At 44.4% G+C, this 26,999-nt stretch overlaps 3 annotated features.

Annotated features, from left to right (window-relative positions):
* Positions 10,711-11,217: an enhancer, noted in NCBI's record as "H3K4me1 hESC enhancer chr11:133498537-133499043 (GRCh37/hg19 assembly coordinates)". NCBI's record gives its function as "activates a minimal SCP1, AML or CMV promoter by ChIP-STARR-seq in naive and primed H9 embryonic stem cells {active_cell/tissue: H9 hESC(naive and primed)}" and the evidence as "EXISTENCE:reporter gene assay evidence [ECO:0000049][PMID:30033119]".
* Positions 11,218-11,723: an enhancer, noted in NCBI's record as "H3K4me1 hESC enhancer chr11:133499044-133499549 (GRCh37/hg19 assembly coordinates)". NCBI's record gives its function as "activates a minimal SCP1, AML or CMV promoter by ChIP-STARR-seq in naive and primed H9 embryonic stem cells {active_cell/tissue: H9 hESC(naive and primed)}" and the evidence as "EXISTENCE:reporter gene assay evidence [ECO:0000049][PMID:30033119]".
* Positions 23,245-23,866: an enhancer, noted in NCBI's record as "NANOG-H3K27ac-H3K4me1 hESC enhancer chr11:133511071-133511692 (GRCh37/hg19 assembly coordinates)". NCBI's record gives its function as "activates a minimal SCP1, AML or CMV promoter by ChIP-STARR-seq in naive H9 embryonic stem cells {active_cell/tissue: H9 hESC(naive)}" and the evidence as "EXISTENCE:reporter gene assay evidence [ECO:0000049][PMID:30033119]".

Raw genomic sequence — 26,999 nt, forward strand, 5'->3', positions numbered from 1 at the left:
TTTAGCAGTGGTCCTCTGCCTGAAACCCTGTCTGAATTCTCAGTCCCTTGTTTTAAGTTCAGAATCAGAAAACACTACCTCATCTCCCAGAAAAGATCTGTGGAATATCACATTACACCCCTGAGGATTCCCCTTTGAGGGTATTTTGGACCTCTAGTCCTCAATGCCTCAGTCTTCAAATCGAGTTTTTTACTTGAAATGTCTAGTTGTCTAGTTGTTCTCAAAGAGATCACTGGTCTGCTACAGTCTAATCTAATATAGTCAGAATCTGGAAATATAGAACTCCCTGACTGTAGGTCTTACATTTCAATAGGTGTTAGGTCAAGAAAGGCAACAACAAACAACAAACAAAAAAATAAACAAGATAATTTCACAGAATGTTAAATGCTATGATGGAAATAAACAGAATGACATGAAAACTCTGAGGTAGCCAACTGCCTTCCGTTTCACATCTGAGGATTCACAAAGTGACTGAGGGAAAATCTCTGTGAAAAATAGCTCCCATTGTCCCCATTTTGTAGATAAGAACATCCTAATCTTTGGGGTACCATTGTTCTTCACTCTCCAGCAGTCATGCCAGGCTGGGGAACCCTCAGGTAATGAGATAACGATGGCACTAAATCTGACCCAAATCATTAGGGATTATGCACCTCAGCACAGACGCCCCTTCCTAACCCAAATCAGAAAAGAGAGAAAATCTTCCAGGACTTCCCCATTATACACATTTAGCGCCTGCTAGGAAAGACGCCACTGGAGGGCACTTTGGTAAATGGAGCTTCCTAGGTCTGTCTTCAGCAATTGCGGGAACCATCATTCTGAGGCCTGCTCAGCTGCCATAATTCACGGGTCTCCCTAATGCAGATGGGTTGGGAATGCTGGACCCTGGAAATAAGCTTTCCCCACCACTGCACTTCACTCAGCTCTCGGCCTTACATCATTTCCAAAGCATTAAGCAGCCTGCAACGCGAGAATCCTGCCGCTGGTGACATCTGTAACATCTGACATCATTTAGAAGACACTGCAAGGGTAAAAGAGTACTTTTTTGATCAGGGACATAAATAATTCTGAGGAAGAAATTAGGTTAAAAGGCTTTTATTTCCCCAAATGGATTTGCAGAATTTGGCCTCCCAGCCAGGTTCCTGTGAGGAGATGGGTTTTGGGGAGCCGAGGAGGTAACTGTGAGCAGTTGACACTCAGCCACTAGGCGCTCCCAGGAATAGGGGACACAATGGGAGCTCCAGGCGGCATGAATGCCCTGTTCATCTCTTGAGAAGGGGAGAGGTAGGGTGTAGCTTAATCATACCCTTGTGTGCCCTCGGTGTTCATAGAAGATGGAAGGGGGCAGCTACTGGGTGTCTGTTCGGGAGGGAAAGCCCCCTTTTTCTCAGAGACGTTCACCAAGATCTTGGGAAATGATTGTCTTCTGCCAAGAGGCGCCCAGATGATCTTCTCCACATCAGCCTGGCTTGGCAGGATTGAGAAAAACTATGCATATATAATCTGTTTTGCCTTCCCAAACTTAGCATCCACACTAGGACAAGAAAAGGAATCAAGAGTCTCAGCTTCTCCCTAAAACTTGCCAGAACTGCTGCCAGGCCTTCACAACAGCAGGAACTCCCATTCCATCTCACCTCTGGCTCTTAGCACAGGGTGGCGCTGAGTGTTTGCATTCCATGGTAATCTCCCAAGGATTTCCAGATCTGCTGCCTGAGGCTGCCTGGATCTAGAGATGACGGGGGTTGCATGAGGACCTAGGGATTTTAAGAGGGGCTTCCTGCAAACAACAGAACAGAACATAATCTTGGGCCCCACACCCACAAACCAGTCTCAGCTATACAAATTGAGCATGAGCTGCAACACAGAGAAGGCTTTTAAAAGGAACAACACCTTCCAACATCTTTAATGCCATTCCCATCTCAGCATGAGCAGCATGCAAACTGGATCAAGTGTCAGAATTCTAGAATGCTGGTTCTGGAAAAAAGGAGCCTTAAGCTTAAAAAATCATGGAGGAATTGTTCATTGTATAGGTGAGAATGCTGTTTTTTCAGATCACATAGCTGATTAATGACAGGAACTTAAACTATATCAACATTGAGAGCATAAGGATTTGTTCATCACGGCACCTTCAATGTCTAGCAAGAACCAGCATGTAGTGGGTGCCTACTATGGTCTAGAGACTGTATTAAGTCCCATACAGGATACAGAGACAAGTACAATACAGTCCCAGCCAATGAGGAACACACCACCTAGTGGGAGACATGAACACATAACCGAAAAGTACAAAGCAACATTGTTAATGCCTTTATAAATAAATAAACAAGGTGCCTAGCAGAGAATCCAGAGGAAATAATAAATAATACTTCCTGTGGCCTTCTAATAATTAAACACCTGATATACCAGAATGAGCACTAAGAATAAACTAATCATGAATAAGATGCAATCCTGCCCTTAAAAAAAGCTTACTGTCTAGTGCAATATGCAAAGAGGTATTTCCAACACATTGTAATGAATGGTGACATGAGTGATATGGGTAGTTTTTAGAGCACATGGGAGGGCATGAGGCCCAGGCTAGGAGGAGGTCAGGAAAAGATTTCCAGGGGATATGACATGAAAGTTGAAATGAACAGTGAGTAGAATGTATCCAGGTGACAGTAAAGGAGAAAGGAGGAAGGGCATAGCCATCCTAGGAAGAAGGAAGTACATAGTTAAATGTTAACGTATTTAATCTGGAGCACAAATCTTTAAGGGAAATGATAGTAAGAGACTTTCAAGGAAAAGGGAGCTCTAACTGTAAGCCTGACTTTAGCCGTAAGATGCTTAGTAGTTTGTCCAGTCTTAAGAACAGTGGAAACCCACTGAAAATTTTTAAACAAGGGAATAAAATGGTCAGGCTTTTCTTTATATCCTCTAAACATGGACGAGGGAAGTGCAAACAGGACACAATGGAAGGCAGGGATTTCCATTCGGATGTTGTTAGAATCGTTCAGATAAAAAAAAAATAATGTATATGAACTCTAGAAAAATCTGTCTGAATCTTTAAGATCCTAATTCTACAATTAAAATTTTGACCAAAAATGATAGTGGCCTGAAAAAAAAAATGTTATGGGGGGTATAGCTGCAAAGGTAGTAAGGGATATTAAGAGATTTTGGTTGCAGAATCTGATCATTGATGAAATGTGGGAGATGAAGAATAGGAGGGAGTCAAAGCCAGGCTTCCAGCTTGGGCAACTGAATATGCTGGTTACTGTCGCCGGAGAAGACCAGGAGGAGCAAAGTGGGAGGGGTTGAGGTGTCCTAGAAGATGGCATTAAGGTTGGGTCTAGAGGTTAATTGGAGGTTTTCAGACAGAGGAGGAAACAACATACTTGCTATGAGACAATGAGTCCACATGAGACTATGGCTAAAATCCCTAACATTCCCCTTCAGCCCCCATGAAGAAACAGACAAAAAGAAAGATAGAGAAAGTGAAAGATTAATTAAGTTCATTACTGGGAAAAAATCATCCTGGGAAATGTCTGGTAACTATTTCTTTAGAATGTAACTCTCCTTGGTCTACTCGAGACATAGCAGATGAAGGTAGAAGACAGGTTGGGGGTGGACAACAATTATCAGAAAAGGCATGAACACACAGAGGACGTTCCCACCATTATTATTGTCCTGGGAGAGTCGTCCTGCAGATCCATTCCCAGCTGCCTTCAATGTAAAGTAAAGAAAGGAAAAAGAGTGAGGGAGAGTCTGGCAAATCCGATAAAGATGGATGGAGGGGATTGAGACAAAGGCACCTGCCGGCATTGTGTCAGCTCCAACTCACCAGCTCAAAAACAAACTCATTCATTATCCACCAGCCTGGGCTGAAATAGCCCCGGTGTAAACACTCCCACACACCCAGCTCTCAATGAGACAAACAGCCTGGAAGTGTACATGCCATGGGCTCTCGCTGCTAATGGAATGCACAACCAGCTCTGTCGTGGCCAAGAACGATTTCTCTGCCAAAGGACACCAACTCCAAACAGCAAAGCTTCACCCAGGACCCTCATCATTCCACATTTTGTGTAGGATCTTCAGACAAAGCAGACCCTCATCTTGTTTTTCACAAGTTTCATTCATTCTCTGCGGTTCTTCAAGCAGAACAAAGAAATTAATTCCCACTACCCACACATTCACACATACGCACTTTGCTTATCTTGCTGATACTCTCTAATACTTTCAAATTAGAGGGCACAGGCCAAAGGCCAACTTTGAGACAACAGATTCATTATTTCACCCCAAATCTGGTCATGTCCCTGTGCTTCAGGTCTCATGCGTAGCCCGACCTTCCTCCTGCTTGCTCACAGTACATACTCATTCCTCATCCTCTGCTCTGCCCTCACTCGGCGTCAATCCCTTGTCCAAAAGACCATGATGCCATCTGCAATCCAGATTTTACTTCCTCTGTAGTCTTCTGCTCTCCATCCCTGTTGTTGCAACTCTGGCTTCAGCCATTGCCTAGGTTTCTGGCCTAGGTTTCTGCCACAGGCCTCTCGAGGGCCAATCTGCCCTCCTCCAAGACATTTTCTATCCTGTAGTCAGGAATGTCATTCAAAAACACAAAACTGTAGTTCACTTCAATGTTTAAAATTCTTCAGTGGCTTCCCATTGACTCTATTTAGGTAGAAATTCCTTAGGAGGACCTATAAAGTCCTTCATAATCTGTTTCTTTCTGCTTTATATCTTCAAGCTAATTCATCCCCATTCCCATGGTGTTCTATGCTCTAGCCAGGTCAAATTGCTTTTAGTTCTCCAAATGCATCTGCTCTCTCTTCCCTCCAGCTCTCCATAGATCCTCCACATTCTCTTATCTGAGAACATTCTTTCCCCACCACTTCACCTGGCAAACTCTTGTCTTTCCACTTTGAGTATACATTTTACTTCTTCCAGGAAGCTTTCTCTGATTGACTTTTCTGGAAGTCTTAGGTGGGTGCACCTTCCATAAAGTGCAATAGGATCCTTATTATAACAAACTGTAACTGCCTATTTCTCTGATTTTCCCACAGTGGTAAGTCTTTTGAGAGCAGTGATGTTATTTGCCAGGGTTACACCTATAGTGTCAGTCTCTACCAAATACCTGGAACACAGTAGATTTTCAGTATTTACTGAGTGAACGAATGAACAGAGGGAGGTAACCAGGAAGAGAGTTAGTTGAGGTTATTTGGTTGCAAGCAAGAGAACCCACCTCTAGCCAATTTAAGCAAACAGGAATCCTGGCATAGAAAGTCAAGTACAAGTCAGGTTGGAAATATGCAAAAACCAAGACAGCTCTAGATATCTAAGAAGCAAGAATGTAGGCACGCTTATGTGACAGAAATAGGATGGTCAAATAGAAAAACACAAGCCGTTTAAATCTCTTTTTCACTTAGCTTAAGATTCAAATTCAAATTATCTAGGATAAGCCTAGTTTATTCATACACCTTGGCCTGGCTAAAAGACAGCAGGGCACACAGGCAGCAGCTCTGATGGACTGTGTGCAATGGGAAGATGGCAAGGGGTAGAGCTGTAGGGAAAAGCGGAGATGTTGAAGGCCACAGCTTCCAAGTGCCCACGAACTCACAAGTCTGAGTTCTCATTAATAATATTTTAGAGATCACAGTTAGCTATTTGCTCTCAGAGTTAGGGTTGAGGGTTTTGGTGGGAGGTGAGAGAAATGAGGCCAGTATGAGAACAGATTGATCTGTAACAGTGGTGGACTCTTTTCTCTCATAGGACATAACGCCAATTCTCTATAAAAAAGAATATATTCACTTAGAAATACACCATATAAGAAATGCCAGTAAGAGGTTCAAGACACAGAGAACAACAATAATAATTGATAATGCACTGAAAGATGGGTTACAGGATTCCTTTAACCATCAAAATAAGTCTTAAAAAGTGACTTAGTAACTGTTTACATTTATGATTAAGATTAACAATTTTTTATTCTTTTTCTCTTTTCTAAGAGTAAAAGAGAGTCAGCAGGTTTAAATGAAGTGTGAAGAATTTAGAATCTATAACAATATGTGTGCATGGAAAATAGAGACTGTGAGACTTCTAAGCGCATCCTCGTGTCTTGTGCTGTACACAGTGGAGAGCGGCATCCAGGAGCACACAATTTCAAGTCAAAGAAACCAGGGCTTTGCCACTGACTGCCCCTGTGACCTTGAAGAAGTGATTTCTCTATGCCTCAGTTTCTTATCTGTACAATAAATCTAGTAACACTTAATGTAATCGCTGTTTGGCTCTAATAGGACCTTGTATGTCAAGCTCTGAGAACAGCTCCTGGGACATAAGAAGTAATCGATGAATGACAGTTAAGGCTCAGTAAATATTTGTTAATTTTGATTATGGATTTCTTAATACAAAAGTTATAAGGTTTTAAAATAATTTTTTCATAATGTATTACAGAAACTGTGTCTTTTTCCAGCATTTAAATAAAAAAAGAACCTGAACCTTCCTGGTGTGATTTGACTGATGCGCTGCTTAAAAGCAGGGACACTAAATAGACTCCTGTCCTCTTCCTTCTTTCATTGCACCCACCCATCCATGGGAACCCGGCTTCCTGCCTACTGCCTGAAGCATCTCTTCTCCTTTTTGAAAGGGAAATTAGACAGCTCAGTAACATTTGGTAGTTCTTCTAGAAAGGAGACTTTGCCAGACTCCACCATCTTTTTCTGTCTGATTTACTGTGGTCCCCAAATATAGGCTGGCTGTTTTTTCGTCTCGTGTATCCATTGGGAAGGTTAGAACAAAACATATGAGACTCGTGAAAATGGATGGAAATGGAATCCAAAAGTAAGTGCGGTGAAGAGGCGATGGACAGAGATCTGAATTATTGGTGAGTCACACCGTCTGACAGACTTCATCATTTGCTGACTTGGCAGGAGATTTATCGGGCATTCTAAGCCCCAATCTTCTTGAAACTGAGAGACCTTCCAGATAAACAACTGCAGCCCTATTTGCAAACCTGCTGCTCAGCATGCGACAGTAGAAGAGATGCTCCTTAACACACTCTCATATACCTTTGCAAGGGATTCCTTAAATCTCAGGTTTTGATAGTATTATTGTCCTCATTATCATCACCCTGAAATTTCACCATCAGTCAAGATCTCCCATTAGGTCCCTGCCCTCGGCAACCTCCCCTTCATCGTCTTCAGAGACCAACGCTCTTGAAAGAAGTTAATAACTTTACTCTCTGAGAAAATAATAAGTCAATATCTGAGATGACTTGGCTGTTTTTGCACAGCTGGAAGAGGATGAAGAGAGACTAACAGAAAGGTGGGTGCAGTCAAATACAGTAAGTAGAGAGGCCGATTGAAGGAGACAGTGAGGAAGGAGCACTGATGGCAAGGAGCTGGAGAGGGCATGAAAATGCAGCGAGACAAGCAAACCACAGATCACTCAGGAAGGAAGGAACCAGAGGCCACTGCGGCCTGAGGAGGAGCAATGCTGGCCGGAGAAACAGATAATTCACCACCGATGCTGCAGAGCCTTGAAAGAGAGACCAGAAAGGTGATTTAAGGAGTATTAGTTTTGGATTCTGAAAATGATTCACTGAACCCCATGATGAGTGACAATCATGCTATTTTATACTAATATAACTGTACACCAAGCTATTTCATCGGCTGCAATAAATTCTTCCACTTTGGGGAAAATTCTACTTAGCCATCAAGAGCCAGCATCAATTTCAACTTCTCTTTGAAGCCTCCCAAGGAACTTTGAGGGAAATTGTAGCCTCACCGGTCTGTAACCTTTTGTTTACCCATCTTTATTCCTGTCTCTTCCACTTCACCATACTTCCTCCCCCAGCCCCTACATGCTTCCATTAAACTGTGATTCCCTTGGAAATAGGCTTAGGTTTTGCTTATCATCATATTCTTATTCCCTGTCATAATGCTTGTCTCAATAGATACTTATTGAATGGAAGAATAAATAGATTGACAGGACTCATTAAACTCATCCCTAACCAGAGTTATTTCAGCGGCCTATTTGAAACGAGAGTGCAGCCCATTTCTCTCCCTCAGAGCCAAGTGTATTTCCAGCAATCCCAGCAGAAGACACCTCCCCTTTGCTATCCCATTCTTGGATCAGCTGCTTTCCACATGGGATAGTAAAACTATCAAATCTCTCTCCAAATTCCAAATCCCATGAAGGGCCAGAACCTACCAACACTGTGGCTTTATGTCCTTTTCCCCAAAATGAAAATATACTCATTCAGCAACTGCAATTCTTTCCATTGATTTAACCTAAACACTGAGGAAAACCTATTTTCAAGAGAAGGTCCACCAGTAACACAATGAACGGAGAATTTTTTTTTTTTTTTAGACGGAGTCTCTGTCACCAGGCTGGAGTACAATGGCATAATCTCAGCTCACTGCAACATCCTCCTCCTGGGTTCAAGTGATTCTCCTGCCTCAGCCTCCTGAGTAACTGAGATTACAGGTGCCCACCACCCTGCCTGGCTAATTTTTGCATTTTCAGTAGAGACAGGATTTCACCGTCTTGGCCAGGCTGGTCTCAAAGTCTTGACCTTGTGATATACCCACCTCTGCCTACCAAAGTGGAAAGGAGATTTTTATAATACATGCTCCTTCTTGTTCTGACCCTAGACCTAATTAATCACAATCTCTCAAGTAGAACCCAGGACAACCTCTCAAGTAGAACCCGGGACTCTTCTTTTTACCAAGTTCCTCAACAGAGTCTAAAGAATACTATGTTTGAGGATCATTATCCTAAGGAAATGAGACCAAGAAAATAAGAAAGGAAGAGAAGGGGAAAAAGAGCAAAGAAGAAAGGGAAGGAAGTTCAATGAAAGGAGAAAGAGAAGTGCTTGCTATCAGGCCTCTGAGCCCAAGCTAAGCCATCATATCCCCTGTGACCTGCACGTACACATCCAGATGGCCAGTTCCTGCCTTAACTGATGACATTCCACCAAAAAGAAATGAAAATGGCCTGTTCTTGCCTTAACTGATGACATTATCTTGTGAAATTCCTTCTCCTGGCTCATCCTGGCTCAAAAGCTCCCCTACTGGGCACCTTGTGACCCCCACTCCTGCCCACTAGAGAGAACAAACCCCCTTTGACTGTAATTTTCCTTTACCTACCCAAATCTTATAAAACATCCCCACTCCTATCTCCCTTCGCTGACTCTCTTTTCGGACTCAGCCCGCCTGCACCCAGGTGATTAAAAGCTTTATTGTTCACACAAAGCCTGTTTGGTGGTCTCTTCACATGGACGTGCATGAAATTTGGTGCTGTGACTCAGATCGGGGGACCTCCCTTGGGAGATCAATCCCCTGTCCTCCTGCTCTTTGCTCCGTGAAAAAGATCCACCTATGACCTCGGGTCCTCAGACCCACCAGCCCAAGGAACATCTCACCAATTTTAAATCGGGTAAGCAGCCTCTTCTTACTCTCTTCTCCAACCTCTCTCACCATCCCTAAAACACTTTCTCCTTTCAATCTTGGCGCCAACCTTCAATCTCTCCCTTCTCTTAATTTCAATTCCTTTCATTTTCTGGTAGAGACAAAGGAGACACGTTTTATCCGTGGACCCAAAACTCTGGCGCTGGTCACGGACTCGGGAAGGCAGCCTTCCCTTGGTGTCTAATCATTGCAGCGATGCCTGATTATTCACCCACGTTTCAGAGGTGTCTGACCACGCAGGGATGCCTGCCTTGGTCCTTCACCCTTAGCAGAAGTCCCACTTTTCTGGGGGAAGGGCAAAAACCCCGACCCCTTCTCTTCCTGTCTCTACCCCTTCTCTCCCTGTCTCTCCCTCTTCTCTCCCTGTCTCTACCCCTTCTCTCCCTGTCTCTCCCTCTTCTCTCCCTGTCTCTACCCCTTCTCTCCCTGTCTCTCCCTCTTCTCTCCCTGTCTCTACCCCGTCTCTACTTTTTGGGGGGGCAAGGACCCCCCCAGATCCCTTATTTCTGCACCCCAACCCCTTATTTCCGCACCCCGACCTCTTATCTCTGTGCCCCAACCCCTTATTTCCGTGCCCCGACCCCTTTCCCGCTTTTCTAGGGGGCAAGAACCCCTCGACCCCTTCTCTCCATGTCTCTACTCTCTCTTTTCTCTGGGCTTGCCTCCTTCACTATGGGCAAGCTTCCGCCCTCCATTCCCCCTTTTTCTCCCTTAGCCTGTATTCTTAAAAACCTAAAACCTCTTCAGCTCACACCTGACCTAAAACCTAAATGCCTTATTTACTTCTGCAAGGCCGCTTGACCCCAATATAAACTCGACAGCAGTTCCAAATAGCCAGAAAACAGCACTTTCAATTTTTCCATCCTACAAGATCTAAGTAATTCTTATCGTAAAATGGGCAAACAGTCTGAAGTTCCTGATGTCCAGGCATTCTTTTACACATTGGTCCCTCCCTAGTCTCTGTTCCCAATGCGACTCATCCCAGATCCTCCTTCTTTCCCTCCCGCCTGTCCCCTCAGTCCCAACCCCAAGAGTCGCTGAGTCTTTCTAATCTTCCTTTTCTACAGACCCATCTGACCTCTCCCCTCCTCCCCAGGCTGCTCCTCGCCAGGCCGAGCTAGGTCCCAATTCTTCCTCAGCCTCCGCTCTTCCACCCTATAATCCTTTTATCGCCTCCCCTCCTCACACCGGGTCCCGCTTACAGTTTCATTCACTGACTAGCCCTCCCCCACCTGCCCAGCAATTTCCTCTTAAACAGGTGGCTGGAGCCAAAGGCATAGTCAAGGTTAATGCTCCTTTTTCTTTATCCCAAATCAGTTAGCGTTTAGGCTCTTTTTCATCGAATATAAAAACCCAGCCCAGTTCATGGCTCGTTTGGCAGCAACCCTGAGACGCTTTACAGCCCTAGACCCTAAAAGGTCAAAAGGCCGTCTTATTCTCAAAATACATTTTATTACCCAATCTGCTCCCAACATTAAATAAAACTCCAAAAATTAAATTCCGGCCCTCAAACCCCACACAGGATTTAATTAACCTCGCCTTCAAGGTGTACAATAATAGAAAAAAGTTGCAATTCCTTGCCTCCACTGTGAGACAAACCCCAGCCACATCTCCAGCACACAAGAACTTCCAAACGCCTAAACCGCAGTGGCCAGGTGTTCCTCCAGGCCTGCCTCCCCCCGGAGCTTGCTACCAAGTGCCAGAAATCTGGCCACCAGGCCAACGAATGCCCACAGCCCGGGATTCCTCCTAAGCCACGTTCCCATCTGTGCGGGACCCCACTGAAAATTGGACTGTTCAACTCACCTGGCAGCCACTCCCAGAGCCCCTGCAACTCTGGCCCAGGGCTCTCTGACTGACTCCTTCCCAGATCTTCTCAGCTTAGCAGCTGAAGACTGACGCTGCCCGATCGCCTCGGAAGCCCCCTAGACCATCACGGACGCCGAGCTTCGAGTAACTCTCACAGTGGAGGGAAGTCCGTCCCCTTCTTAATCAATACGGAGGCTACCCACTCCACATTACCTTCTTTTCAAGGGCCTGTTTCCCTCGCCTCCATAACTGTTGTGGGTATTGACGGCCAGGCTTCTAAACCTCTTAAAACTCCCCAACTCTGGTGCCAACTTAGACAATACTCTTTTAAGCACTCCTTTTTAGTTATCCCCACCTGCCCAGTTCCCTTATTAGGCCAAAACACTTTAACTAAATTATCTGCTTCCATGACTATTCCTAGACTACAGCTATATCTCATTGCTGCCCTTCTTCCCAATCCAAAGCCTCCTTTGCGTCCCCCTCTTGTATCCCCCCCACCTTAACCCACAAGTATAAGAGATCTCTACTCCCTCCTTGGTGAGACTGATCACGCACCCCTTACCATCTCATTAAAACCTAATCACCCTTACCCCGCTCAACGCCAATATCCCATCCCACAGCACGCTTTAAAAAGATTAAAGCCTGTTATCACTCGCCTGCTACAGCATGGCCTTTTAAAGCCTATAAACTCTCCTTACAATTCCCCCATTTTACCTGTCCTAAAACCAGAGAAGCTTTACAGGTTATTTCAGGATCTGCGCCTTATCAACCAAATTGTTTTGCCTATCCACCCCGTGGTGCCAAACCCATATACTCTCCTATCCTCAATACCTGCCTCTACAACCCATTATTCTGTTCTGGATCTCAAACATGCTTTCTTTACTATTCCTTTGCACCCTTCATCCCAGCCTCTCTTCACTTTCACTTAGACTGACCCTCACACCCATCAGGCTTAGCAAATTACCTAGGCTGTACTGCCACAAGGCTTCACAGATAGCCCCCATTACTTAAGTCAAGCCCAAATTTCATCCTCATCTGTTACCTATCTCGGCATAATTCTCATAAAAACACACATGCTCTCCCTGCTGATCATGTCCGACTAATCTCCCAAACCTCAATCCCTTCTACAAAACAACAACTCCTTTCCTTCCTAGGCATGGTTAGATACTTTCGACTTTAGATATCTGGTTTTGCCATCCTAACAAAACCATTATATAAACTCACAAAAGGAAACCTAGTTGACCCCATAGATCCTAAATCCTTTCCCCACTCCTCTTTCCATTCCTTGAAGACAGCTTTAGAGACTGCCCCCACCTTAGATCTCCCTGACTCATCCCAACCCTTTTCATTACACACAGCAGAAGTGCAGGGCTGTGCAGTCAGAATTCTTACACAAAGACCAGGACCGCACCCTGTAGCCTTTTTATCCAAACAATTTGACCTTACTGTTTTGCCTAGCCCTCAAGTCTGTGTGTGGCGGCTGCCACTTCCCTAATACTTTTAGAGGCCCTTAAAATCACAAACTATGCTCAACTCACTCCCTACAGTTCTCATAACTTCCAGAATCTATTTTCTTCCTCACACCTGACACATATACTTTCTGCTTCCTGGCTCCTTCAGCTGTACTCACTCTTTGTTAAGTCTCCCACAATTACCGTTGTTCCTGGCCCAGACTTCAATCAGGCCTCCCACATTATCCCTGATACCACACCTGACCCCCATGACTGTAACTCTCTGGTCCACCTGACATTCACTCCATTTCCCCATATTCTTTCATGTTCCTCACGCTGAACACACTTAGTTTATTGATGGCAGTTCCACCAGGCCTAATCGCCACACACCAGCAAAGGCAGGCTATGCTACAGTACAAGCCACTAGCCCGCCTCTTAAAACCTCTCATTTCCTTTCCATCGTGGAAATCTATCCTCAAGGAAATAACTTCTCTGTGTTCCATATGCTATTCTACTACTTCTCAAGGATTATTCAGGCCCCTTCCCTTCCCTACACATCAAGCTCGAGGATTTGCCCCCACCCAGGACTGGCAAATTAGCTTTACTCAACATGCCCTGAGTCAGATAACTAACATACCTCTTAGTCTAGGTAGACACTTTCACTGGATAGGTAGAGGCCTTTCCTACAGGATGGGAGAAGGCCACTGCAGTCATTTCTTCCCTTCTGTCAGACATAATTCCTCAGTTTAGCCTTCCAACCTCTATACAGTCTGATAACAGACCAGCCTTTATTAGTCAAATCAGCCAAGCAGTTTTTCAGGCTCTTGGTATTCAGTGAAACCTTTATATCCCTTACGGTCCTCAGTCTTCAGGAAAGGTAGAATGGACTAAAGGTCTTTTAAAAACACACCTCACCAAGCTCAGCCACCAATTTAAAAAGGACTGGACAATACTTTCACCACTTTCCCTTCTCAGAATTCAGGCCTGTCCTCGGAATGCTACAGGGTACAGTCCATTTGAGCTCCTGTTTGGATGCTCCTTTTTATTAGGCCCCAGTCTCATTCCAGACACCAGACCAACTTGTACTGTGCCCCAAAAAACTTGTCATCCCTACTATCTTCTGTCTAGTCATACTCCTATTCACCGTTCTCAACTACTCAGACATGCCATGCTCTTGTTTACACTGCCTGTTTACACTGTTTCTCTAAGCCATCACAGCTGATACCTCCTGGTGCTATCCCCAAACTGCCACTCTTAACTCTTGAAGTAAATAAATAATCTTTGTTGGCAAGACTATGCTGAATCTCCTTAGGCACTCTCTAATTAGATGTCCTGGGTCCTCCCAATTCTTAGACCTTTAATACCTGTTTTTCTCCTTCTCTTATTCCGTTTAGTTTTTCAATTCATACAAAACCGTATCCAGGCCATCACCAATAATTCTAAATGACAAATCTTTCTTCTAACAGTCCCACAATATCACCCCTTACCACAAAATCTTCCTTCAACTTAATCTCTCCCACTCTAGGTTCCCACGCCACCCCTAATCCTGCTTGAAGCAGCCCTGAGAAACATCGCCCATTATCTCTCCATACCATCCCCAAAATTTTTCACCATCCCAACACTTTACCACTATTTCATTTTATTTTTCTTATTAATATAAGAAGACAGGAATGTCAGGCCTCTGAGCCCAAGCTAAGCTATATCCCCTGTGACCTGCACGTACACATCCAGATGGCCAGTTCCTGCCTTAACTGATGACATTCTACCATAAAAGAAATGAAAATGACCTGTTCCTGCCTTAACTGATGACATTATCTTATGAAATTCCTTCTCCTGGCTCAAAAGCTCCCCTACTGAGCACGTTGTGACCCCCACTCCTGCCCGCCAGAGAACAACCCCCTTTGACTGTAATTTTCCTTTACCTACCCAAATCTTATAAAACAGCCCCACCCCTATCTCCCTTCACTGACTGTCTTTTCGGACTCAGCCCACCTGCACCCAGGTGATTAAAAGCTTTATTGCTCACACAAAGCCTGTTTGGTGGTCTCTTCACACGGACGTGCATGAAACTTGCTATGGGCCAGGTACCATACAAGAAAATGCAAAATATACAACATACATTTAAAAAAAAGTGCTGATATGTTGAAAGTAAAAGTATAAAAAGATATATTAACCAAAATGTCCACTGAGGAAAATACTAATAAAAATAACATTTTGGTGGGGATAATATAACAAGTCCCTCTTGTTCCAATCACTAACCAAAAGTCCTCCTGAAATCTGAAGTTCTATAATAATCAGTAAGAGGAAGAACACCAAACATAAAATCAGAAAATATAGGGATGTTATGTCTCTGCCTACTAGCTGTATAACTTTAGAAAAGTTGCTTAAATCTCTGGGTCTCAGTCTTCCCATGATTTGGTTTAAATCGTGGAAGAACCATATAGATGTAACACCATGCTGTTTTCACAGTTAGTTCTCTTTCCGTGTTCTGTCGTGTTAATAAACGTGTGCAGAAGCTGCAAACATTACATATGATTAAAAGCACTATGTAGATGCAAAATATTATAAGGAGAATGTAGCTAATATTTATGGAATGATTACTGTGTCTCAGAAAATATGTAGTGTTTAAAATACATTTATTTGTCATGGTGATAGTGATCCTACAAGGGAGGTCCTATCACCATTCTCACTTAACAAGCAAACGACCTAAAGCATGGAGAAGTTAAGCAACGCTCCTAAGCTCACACAGTTGGTAAATGGCAGAACTAAAATTTGAACCAAAGCAATTTGATTCTAGAGCCCACGTTCTTAATCACGACACTATAAGAAATGCATTTCATAATCAGAAACTCTTCCTGATATATGAATCAGGAAACTATTTCCAATGAGTAGTTCCAGCTTTGCCATTTTCTCTTGATCTCCTTGGAGTAACTTCCTTCCCAAACCAATCATCCTGCTGTTTGGTTACTTCATGACTTACAGTTTTTACGACCATCCTCTTCCCCAAGACTTGACACCACAAATGCAGCAACTAAACTGTGTGCTGTGGAGGTGATCAGCTTCTCAGTCTCACTTGCCTGTCTAGCTACTGATTCATTTCTATCCTGTGCTTCACAACCTGGCTTTCTGAGAGAAGTTACTCCATTTTCCCCCTTCCTAAAGACAACCGTAGTCTCTACCATTTTTTAATTCAATGGATATTTTTCATCTATCTTTTGTAATCGTTGTGCAGCACTTCATACTATTAGCAACTCCATCTTTGAAATTTTACCCTCCTCTGACTTCTCTGCCCTGGTTTCCCCTGGTCTCTAGTGGCTGGAATCCAGTGTGCTCCATGAGCTCTTCTTCATCCTGCCCATCCATTAAAATCTATGTGCTCCAGGATCGCCCCACCAAATGTGCTCTCCCTACAATAGCTCACCTGATGTCCAGGTCCAAATCTTTTGAAGATCTCCATGCTGAGCTCCAGATCCGTATAATCAGTTTCCTGGACATCTCCACTTGGTTTATGTCTGGGAGTCTCAGCTTCCGTGAACCTAACTCACTCTTCATTCCTCAGCCTCTCAGTCCTTGTGAGCTCATCATCCCAGTGATCCAGAAAGCATTTTCTCTTCTCCCTCCTGTTCTGCATATAACCCATCTTATGGTCATGTCGGTTCTGCTTCCTTGGTGTATCTGAAACTAGCCTTCTCTTCCCCACTTGCTCAGCCACCATCTCATCAAACCTTCCGCAATGGCCTTCCCTTCTTCCAAGGCATCCCTCATGCTCCTGTTAATAATGATTTTTCTAAAATGTAAATAGATTAAGGTATCCTCCAGCTTAAAATCTTTCCACGGCACCCCATTGCCTTTGGATGATTTTCAACTTTCTGCCTTAGCATTGCATTCTAAGCTAGGAAGCTCAGGGTTTAGTCCCTACCTTCCTGGCTGTGGTCTGTCCTCTTACCTGTCCCGTTTGCTGCACAGATCCCAGGTGATCAAATACAACTGATTGCATTTCAACAGTCTCTTTCATGAACGTTTTTTTTCCTTTTTTTTTTTTTTTTTTAAGACGGAGTCTCGCTCTATCGCCAGGCTGGAATGCAGTGGCGCAATCTCGGCTCACCGCAACCTCTGCCTCCCAGGTTCAAGCGATTCTCCTGCCTCAGCCTCCCAAGTAGCTGGGACTACAGGCGCCCACCACTACGCCCAGCTAATTTTTGTATTTTTTTTTTTTTTAGTAGAGATGAGGTTTCACCATCTTGGCCAGGATGGTCTCGATCTCTTGACCTCATGATCCGCCCACCTCACCCTCCCAAAGTGCTGGGATTACATGTGTGAGCCACCGTGCCGGTCATGAACCTTTTCTAAAACACTACTCCCTCGACTTAAATTGCACTGACCATCCCTCACTTCTCCATATTGCTAATTTCTGTTCCTCGTTTTAAGTTATAACTTAACTTCCTCTTTCAGGAAGCTTTCTATAACTCCTTTCTCCACACCCCTAGAAGAGGTTGGAAGTCCCTTTTCTTTACTTTGTACCGTTCAAATGGTTGTTTTCTGTATAACGTCTGTGTCATGGCCTTTGCTCCTCACTAGGCTGTGAAGTTCTTGGGGAAATTGTTTAGAAATTATTTCTCCTCTATATTCTCGGCAATTAGCACAGTGCCAGGTGCACAGAAAGTATTCAGTATGGACATTTTTGAATGAATGAATGAATGAATGAATGAAGTGAAATAGCAAAGAGAAGCATTTGGGTACAGCTCCTAAAGCAGGAAACACTGTGCCTGGCAACCAGGTTTCCACATCATCCACAGTTGCTAGTATAGCACAATGCAGAGCTATTTACTCTCCCCTAAAATATAAACTCTCTCCAAAGCTGTGTTTGTGCAAAGACTGCAATGAAAGAAGCACTTGTTTAAATAGAAAGGTCTCTGGCAATTAACAAACATGGGACAAATCCAAGATCCACTAACTTTTCAGGGGCTTTGTGTTTGCAGTTAGATGTATAGAAATGCTTACGAAGAATGAGATTCCCTCTTCACAGAAAAGAAAACATGTGATTTAAATAGCAATGCCTCTGGTCATCAAGGATGCAATCTAGAAAGTCCGGGTTTGGACTTCTCTGAAAAAGTAATCCTCAGGGATTGGGTCAAGAATGGGGCAGGGATCCTCTGGATTTCCATTTACTCTAAAGGAAGGCTTCCCCCTGACCCCCCAGATAGAGCAAGGGACAAAGATCCCAGCTTGCAGGCAAGCTATTTCAAGATCTAATACGGCTCTTAGTAGCATGGCAGAGGGGCAGGACATACGTGGCATAAAAAACACAGGCTGCCTTTGGGGTCTGTGTGCCTGTGTTCATGCATGTGGCTACATGCATGGAAATACACATGCCCCGGCCTTTTCCCCTGTTGAGAATCTCTCCTGGGTGAAAGAGAAGGGGCCTATGGCCTTGACACCCCCACCTCACTGCAACGTGCAGGGCAAGACATCCCTTCCTCTTTACTGCCGTGGCCCCAGCTTCACTCTGCAAAGTCAGGGAGGGAGACTGGGGGATTTTCAAGGATGATTTCAATTCTAACTCTCTATGACCCTTCTGAAAATTAGTTATTTTAATGTTCTGCCTTTATGCTGAAGAGAACAAAGGGGAAAACACCAGATAGGTATTAAAATTAAAATAAGTCTTTGGAATGAGAGGACTTGGATTTGTACCCTGTCTTTTACACATTACACATTACACAAAAGCTGAGTGAATTTTGGAGAATTTCTTAACTTCCCTGAGTCCCCAGTCTTAAAGTAAAACTAAACTTACCTTCTTCAAAGGGTTTTTGTGAAGATCAGGTTGTAGCTTAAGGGCAACGTTGTATTCATCTCTAACTACCGTGCTGGAATAACTGAGAGGCTGAATAAAAGAAGTCTTTATCATCAAACACATCTTTATTTTGGCAGAGATAAATAAGAGCAACAGATCAAGGCAGAAATGTCCCTAAATGACAGTCAGGCACCCACCCCTGCCAGTGATGCCCAGAGACCTCCACCCATTTCAGACACGTCTCTCAGTGGGGTGTCCTCCCAGCTCAGCAGAGCAGTGTGACTTTGCATCTGGGCCCTTTCAATCGGCCTTTCTTATGAAATAAGCCCACCCTCCAGGTCAACCCTTGACCGCCCCCCCCCCACCCCCACCGGGGAAGTGGAGAGTGACACGGGAGAATTAACAGGAGACAGGTAACATCTGTAAGAGGTGGGTGCGGGGCGGCCAGGGACAGGCAGGAGGCATCGATTGCCTGGCCAGACGGCAAAGCCACGTTTGTTCTCATTGCAGCTCTCCAAGAGCCAGCGACCTGCCAGGCACCAGCTTTATTTGTAGGTGAGGGTCATTAATTTGAATTAATAGTACCGCACTGGTCGGCGCTTCGTTTTGCTTTGTTTCCCTCCTGTGGACGCCACAGACTTCTTTGTTGCCTGGTTCTGTGAGTGGGAAGACACTGTGAACAAGCATCCAATTAGCCAGAAAAACAAAATCTGCCTGGATTCCCGCTTCAGCCAGAGGCCTCTCCCTCAAAAGCCTGGAGACCACACTCCACACACAGGCTGCTTCTGTTTAATTTGCCCCTCCTGGCAGCATTCCCACTCTTCCCTGCCCTTCTAACCCATATAGTCATCATCCCTACCCCAGGGACATTATTATCTCCCAGTTACCCCCACCTGCTGTGCCCCCCGCTCAGGCTACCGTGGAAATAATACCCATCCCATAGGGACAGAGTGAGGATCAAAGATAATGTATGCCGAGGCTTAGTGTCTGGCCGACGTAGACCTCGATAATTGTGAGGCCGTCCCTCAGGAAGGGGCGTGGTGTGTCTCATTGCCCCTGCCCTCTGGAACTGTAAATGGGTTTAGGTGCATACAGCAGACCAGAGTAACAGAAGACAAGACGCCCCCAGAATCTCAGCCAGAGTGGCCCCCAGCGCCTTACAGAGCCAGAAACAGCCCCTGGAAGCTGAGGGAGTCTCCAAGCTCCATCGGAACAATCACCAAGTGTGCGTGGTCACTTTGCCCACCCCACCTCCTCTGTGCCTCCAACGGTGGCCCTGCCACCTGCACCTGCTTTTCCTGCCTGATATTTATAAACAAGCCATCTCCTTCACCAGCTAAGAAACAGAGAAAGCTCAGAGAGCTGGTCTACAGCAGGCTGCCCTCAGCCACAGCAGCCCCACAAGAGAACCCTTTCAACACTGGGCACGTCTGTGTTCAAACACTAGGCCACCGCGAGGAGGTATGGGCTTTCAGATACAACCAGGCTTGCAAGAAATTAGAGTGCCACCTTCAGTGATTAGTGAGGTGAGTTTTAGACACCACACTTCCTGCTCCAGAGAAAAATCATCCAAATGGCTTGCTGTGGTTGAACTACATGAAGGCCCAAAGGCAGTTCCTGGCCAGCTTTTGTGTCTGGTGGGCGAAGGGCTTTTCACCAGGGCAAATAGCTAAAGGAGGACAAGGCTCTCGGATGGCCTCTTCTCAAGACTCTTGGCTCCAAGGAACTGCAGCCTTCTAAAATGACAAGCACTTTTTGTCACCTTGATGAAGTATGGAAAGGTCTCAAGCATCTGCAGTAGAAAGGGCCACCACAGGGATCCTGAAACATCAGTATTTCAAACATGTCCTTATACAATCATCTCTCAATGCCAATGCATCTGCTGCTGTATCTGAAAGGGGTTGCCAACCTGTGAAAGCCCATTATGACTCACTGCAAATCCAGATTCTCTCCCTCACCCACCACCTTCCCCTTCCCTTCCCTCCCCACCAGCCCCACCAAACTGCAAAAAGACCAAGAATGGTGGCTCTAGAGCCAACTGGAAGGAAATCACTTGTAGCAGGTGGCACCACCTGTCCTCATCTAGTTCTAGCCAAAACAATCCACTCTCCATCATTCCCAACTGTAGGAAAAGTTTAACTGGTTCAGCATGAGCTGGCCTCATCCAGGCAAGCAGAGAGGAAGAGGAATGGCTCTGGTTCCTGCCGTGAGCCAGTTGAGAAATAAGTAATTGGCAGCATGGTTTGCCATCTCCCACTTCCGCTCCTGGGTTCTAGTGGAGAGTGACCCTGCTCTCAACCTTCTTGGCCTCCAAGATGCCACCTGAACACCTGTGTGCCTGTTCTGCCCTTGCTCAGGTGTCTGGCTGCAAGATCTTCCACCTGCTTAGCCGCTTCCCACAGCAGGAGGCTGAAGGAACCACACACTCAAATAATGCACCTCTATGCTGGACTGCCCAATCCCCCTTCTTCCTGAAAAATCATCACTTTCTATCTTCACTAAAATGTCCCTAAACTTCTAACCCAGGTAAAATCTTCTGAACCAAAATCTCTCCCGCCGCCCGCCACTCCCGATTTAATTTCCTTCTTTACATCACTGGTTGCATAGCTCACTGAATCACAGTGCTTCCCATGTAATGAGCCTCCAGTATTTCAGACTTTCCAGGACACCCACCAGGTCACTTATCAGCACTAATTTGCCTCCTGCTCCAGATTCTATTTCTCACTAGTCCCTGTGGAACCCTCCGCTCTTAAACTAAGAAAGTTAAATGCTTTCTTTCTGTGGAAGAAGGAAACTTAGAGTAGTCATGCAAGCTAAATAACTAGAGTCAGTGTAACTATATCAAGATGACCCTGAAATGGTAGGGGTCTAATGGTAGGAGAATTGTCTCTATTATTATGGAAAATCTGGAAGTCCAAACACTGCACTTTTCTCCCAAACCCCAAACGAATATGGCTCCCTTGGGTCCATGCATGGGACACATTAGGCTGTATCCTCTAAACATTCTGGGCACACCTTCTCATTCTCCAGAGAGGATCAATAACAGCATTAAGTTCCTTCCATAAGTGCATGCCGATCACGTCCTTGAAGTTTGATCTTGGGGTCTGCCATGTAGATGTGTGTCTTTTAACACTGTTATGCTACTGAGAAGTCTTAACAGTGTTGTCTGTCACTCAAGTGACAAGAAAGAGTGTCATGAGCTATATTTGGCATTGACTTGGCCCTTATTAGAGTGTTATGTGCAGTCTGGGGATTCTAATTTTCCAAAAGGTACAGAGAAATTGGAGGGGGTCCAAGACAGAGCAGTGAAAATGATTAAAGGGGTGGAGAGTGAAAACTCAGGAAAAAGGTTAAATGAATGCAGGTGATTTATCAAAGGCAGAGAAAAATGAGGGTAGACCACATATCTTTAAATAAAGGAGACATCATTTTAAGGACCCACAGCCACTGCTTTTTGATATAGGGCTACATCAGAGAAAGATGGTCTTGATGGTGTTTGAGTATTAAACAGGTCAGTCTGTACATGTGTTCATTAACTTTCTAAATCATTGAAATCAGATAATGAACTAATGAGAATGATTTTTCTGGGTAAACTCAAGAAAAAAACCCCTCCATCCTTATAAACTTATTTAATTTTCATAATAATTCCAACATAAAAAAATGGAGTATCTCAGAAGCCGATAGCCTAAGATCACCTAGTAGTTAACCTGGATTCAGAACTTGTGATGGCAATCCTGGAGTCTCTGATTTCCACCACGGCTGCCTCAGCCAGGATGCCCATTCTCAAATGCTCAGGTTGATTTCATCTGGAAGAGAGGGCCACATGACCATCTGAGGGTAGGGTGATCATCACTCTTTCATTTAAGCCATGAATCACAATTTCCTCCAGATTATTTTTCCTTGTACCCCAAAAAATAAATAGACCTAAGTTTTTCAACTCTTAGGATTTTTATCTGATGGTTGGGTAAATGGAGAAGCTACGAAAGGAGCCAGAAGATAGCTCCAGAGAAGTTTACAGGTGAAAGGGTGAGAGCAGCTTTGGACATACTGAGTTCAGGGCTCTGCGACCTCAGTGTCCAGGTGGAGAGGCTCATCAGAAAGCCAGGCACAGTGGTCCGAAATGGGTGAATGCCTGCACTCAAGCTTTAAATTTGAATATCAGTATACATATACATATATATATATATATATATATATATATATATATATATATATATGGCATTTGACACCCAAGAATGGGGGCCTCGTCAGGGAATATGGGTAGCACAAGAATGCAGGGGAAAGACCAGAACCCCTGCAGAACAGCCCTTGAAGAAGGCAAAAGAGGGAACGTTCATTGAAGGAGGGAAATGTACAACAGGGATAGTTTATAGAAATAAAAGGTACAGGGAGGAGCCAAGATGGCCGAATAGGAACACCTCCGGTCTACAGCTCCCAGCGTGAGCGATGCAGAAGACGGGTGATTTCTGCATTTCCATCTGAGGTACCGGGTTCATCTCACTAGGGAGTGCCAGACAGTGGGAGCAGGTCAGTGGGTGCGCGCACCGTGCGCGAGCCGAAGCAGGGCGAGGCATTGCCTCACTTGGGAAGTACAAGGGGTCAGGGAGTTCCCTTTCCGAGTCAAAGAAAGGGGTGATGGACGCACCTGGAAAATTGGGTCACTCCCACCCGAATACTGCGCTTTTCCGACGGGTTTAAAAAACGGCGCACCACGAGATTATATCCCGCACCTGGCTCGGAGGGTCCTACGCCCACGGAGTCTCGCTGATTGCTAGCACAGCAGTCTGAGATCAAACTGCAAGGTGGCAGCGAGGCTGGGGGAGGGGCGCCCATCATTGCCCAGGCTTGCTTAGGTAAACAAAGCAGCCGGGAAGCTCGAACTGGGTGGAGCCCACCACAGCTCAAGGAGGCCTGCCTGCCTCTGTAGGCTCCACCTCTGGGGGCAGGGCACAGACAAACAAAAAGATAGCAGTAACCTCTGCAGACTTAAATGTCCCTGTCTGACAGCTTTGAAGAGAGCAGTGGTTCTCCCAGCACGCAGCTGGAGATCTGAGAACGGGCAGACTGCCTCCTCAAGTGGGTTCCTGACCCCTGACCCCCAGCAGCCTAACTGGGAGGCACCCCCCAGGAGGGGCACACTGACACCTCACACGGCAGGGTACTCCAACAGACCTGCAGCTGAGGGTCCTCTCTGTTAGAAGGAAAACAAACAGAAAGGACATCCACACCAAAAACCCATCTGTACATCACCATCATCAAAGACCAAAAGTAGACAAAACCACAAAGATGGGGAAAAAACAGAACAGAAAAACTGGAAACTCTAAAAAGCAGAGCACCTCTCCTCCTCCAAAGGAACGCAGTTCCTCACCAGCAACGGAACAAAGCTGGATGGAGAATGACTTTGACGAGCTGAGAGAAGAAGGCCTCAGACGATCAAATTACTCTGAGCTACGGGAGGGCATTCAAACCAAAGGCAAAGAAGTTGAAAACTTTGAAAACAATTTAGAAGAATGTATAACTAGAATAACCAATACAGAGAAGTGCTCAAAGGAGCTGATGGAGCTGAAAACCAAGGCTCGAGAACTACGTGAAGAATGCTGAAGCCTCAGGAGCCGATGCGATCAACTGGAAGAAAGGGTATCAGCAATGGAAGATGAAATGAATGAAATGAAGCGAGAAGGGAAGTTTAGAGAAAAAAGAATAAAAAGAAATGAGCAAAGCCTCCAAGAAATATGGGACTATGTGAAAAGACCAAATCTACGTCTGATTGGTGTACCTGAAAGTGACGGGGAGAATGGAACCAAGTTAGAAAACACTCTGCAGGATATTATCCAGGAGAACTTCCCCAATCTAGCAAGGCAGGCCAACGTTCAGATTCAGGAAATACAGAGAATGCCACAAAGATACTCCTCGAGAAGAGCAACTCCAAGACACATAATTGTCAGATTCACCAAAGTTGAAATGAAGGAAAAAATGTTAAGGGCAGCCAGAGAGAAAGGTCAGGTTACCCTCAAAGGGAAGCCCATCAGACTAACAGCGGTTCTCTTGGCAGAAACCCTACAAGCCAGAAGAGAGTGGGGGCCAATATTCAACATTCTTAAAGAAAAGAATTTTTAACCCAGAATTTCATATCCAGCCAAACTAAGCTTCATAAGTGAAGGAGAAATAAAATACTTTACAGACAAGCAAATGCTGAGAGATTTTGTCACCACCAGGCCTGCCCTAAAAGAGCTCCTGAAGGAAGCACTAAACATGGAAAGGAACAACCGGTATCAACCGCTGCAAAATCATGCCAAAATGTAAAGACCATCGAGACTAGGAAGAAACTGCATCAACTAACGAGCAAAATCACCAGCTAACATCATAATGACAGGATCAAATTCACACATAACAATATTAACTTTAAATGTAAATGGACTAAATGCTCCTATTAAAAGACACAGACTGGCAAATTGGATAAAGAGTCAAGACTCATCAGTGTGCTGTATTCAGGAAACCCATCTCATGTGCAGAGACACACATAGGCTCAAAATAAAAGGATGGAGGGAGATCTACCAAGCAAAGGGAAAACAAAAAAAGGCAGGGGTTGCAATCCTAGTCTCTGATAAAACAGACTTTAAACCAACAAAGATCAAAAGAGACAAAGAAGGCCATTACATAATGGTAAAGGGATCAATTCAACAAGAAGAGCTAACTATCCTAAATATATATGCACCCAATACAGGAGCACCCAGATTCATAAAGCAAGTCCTGAGTGACCTACAAAGAGACTTAGACTCCCACACATTAATAATGGGAGACTTTAACACCCCACTGTCAACATCAGACAGATCAACGAGACAGAAAGTCAACAAGGATACCCAGGAATTGAACTCAGCTCTGCACCAAGCGGACCTAACAGACATCTACAGAACTCTCCACCCCAAATCAACAGAATATACATTTTTTTCAGCACCACACCACACCTATTCCAAAATTGACCACATACTTGGAAGTAAAACTCTCCTCAGCAAGTGTAAAAGAACAGAGATTGTAACAAACTATCTCTCAAACCACAGTGCAATCAAACTAGAACTCAGGATTAAGAATCTCACTCAAAACCGCTCAACTACATGGAAACTGAACAACCTGCTCCTGAATGACTACTGCATACATAACGAAATGAAGGCAGAAATAAAGATGTTCTTTGAAACCAACAAGAACAAAGACACAACATACCAGAATCTCTGGGACACATTCAAAGCAGTGTGTAGAGGGAAATTTATAGCACTAAATGCCCACAAGAGAAAGCAGGAAAGATCCAAAATTGACACCCTAACATCACAATTAAAAGAACTAGAAAAGCAAGAGCAAACACATTCAAAAGCTAGCAGAAGGCAAGAAATAACTAAAATCAGAGCAGAACTGAAGGAAATAGAGATACAAAAAACCCTTCAAAAAATTAATGAATCCAGGAGCTGGTTTTTTGAAAGGATCAACAAAATTGATAGACTGTTAGCAAGACTAATAAAGAAAAAAAGAGAGAAGAAACAAATAGACAAAATAAAAAATGATAAAGGGGATATCACCACCGATACCACAGAAATACAAACTACCATCAGAGAACACTACAAACACCTCTACGCAAATAAACTAGAAAATCTAGAAGAAATGGATAAATTCCTCAACACATACACTCTCCCAAGACTAAACCAGGAAGAAGTTGAATCTCTGAATAGACCAATAACAGGAGCTGAAATTGTGGCAATAATCAATAGTTTACCAACCAAAAAGAGTCCAGGACCAGATGGATTTACAGCCGAATTCTACCAGAGGTACAAGGAGGAGCTGGTACCATTCCTTCTGAAACTATTCCAATCAATAGAAAAAGAGGGAATCCTCCCTAACTCATTTTATGAGGCCAGCATCATTCTGATACCAAAGCCGGGCAGAGCCACAACCAAAAAAGAGAATTTTAGACCAATATCCTTGATGAACATTGATGCAAAAATCCTCAATAAAATACTGGCAAAACGAATCCAGCAGCACATCAAAAAGCTTATCCACCATGATCAAGTGGGCTTCATCCCTGGGATGCAAGGCTGGTTCAATATACACAAATCAATAAATGTAATCCAGCATATAAACAGAGCCAAAGACAAAAACCACATGATTATCTCAATAGATGCAGAAAAAGCCTTTGACAAAATTCAACAACCCTTCATGCTAAAAACTCTCAATAAATTAGGTATTGATGGGACGTATTTCAAAATAATAAGAGCTATCTATGACAAACCCACAGCCAATATCATACTGAATGGGCAAAAACTGGAAGCATTCCCTTTGAAAACTGGCACAAGACAGGGATGCCCTCTCTCACCACTCCTATTCAACATAGTGTTGGAAGCTCTGGCCAGGGCAATTAGGCAGGAGAAGGAAATAAAGTGTATTCAATTAGGAAAAGAGGAAGTCAAATTGTCCCTGTTTGCAGACAACATGATTGTATATCTAGAAAACCCCATTGTCTCAGCCCAA

Source organism: Homo sapiens, chromosome 11 (assembly GCF_000001405.40).
Source record: "Homo sapiens chromosome 11, GRCh38.p14 Primary Assembly".
Classification (NCBI taxonomy): Eukaryota; Metazoa; Chordata; class Mammalia; order Primates; family Hominidae; genus Homo; species Homo sapiens.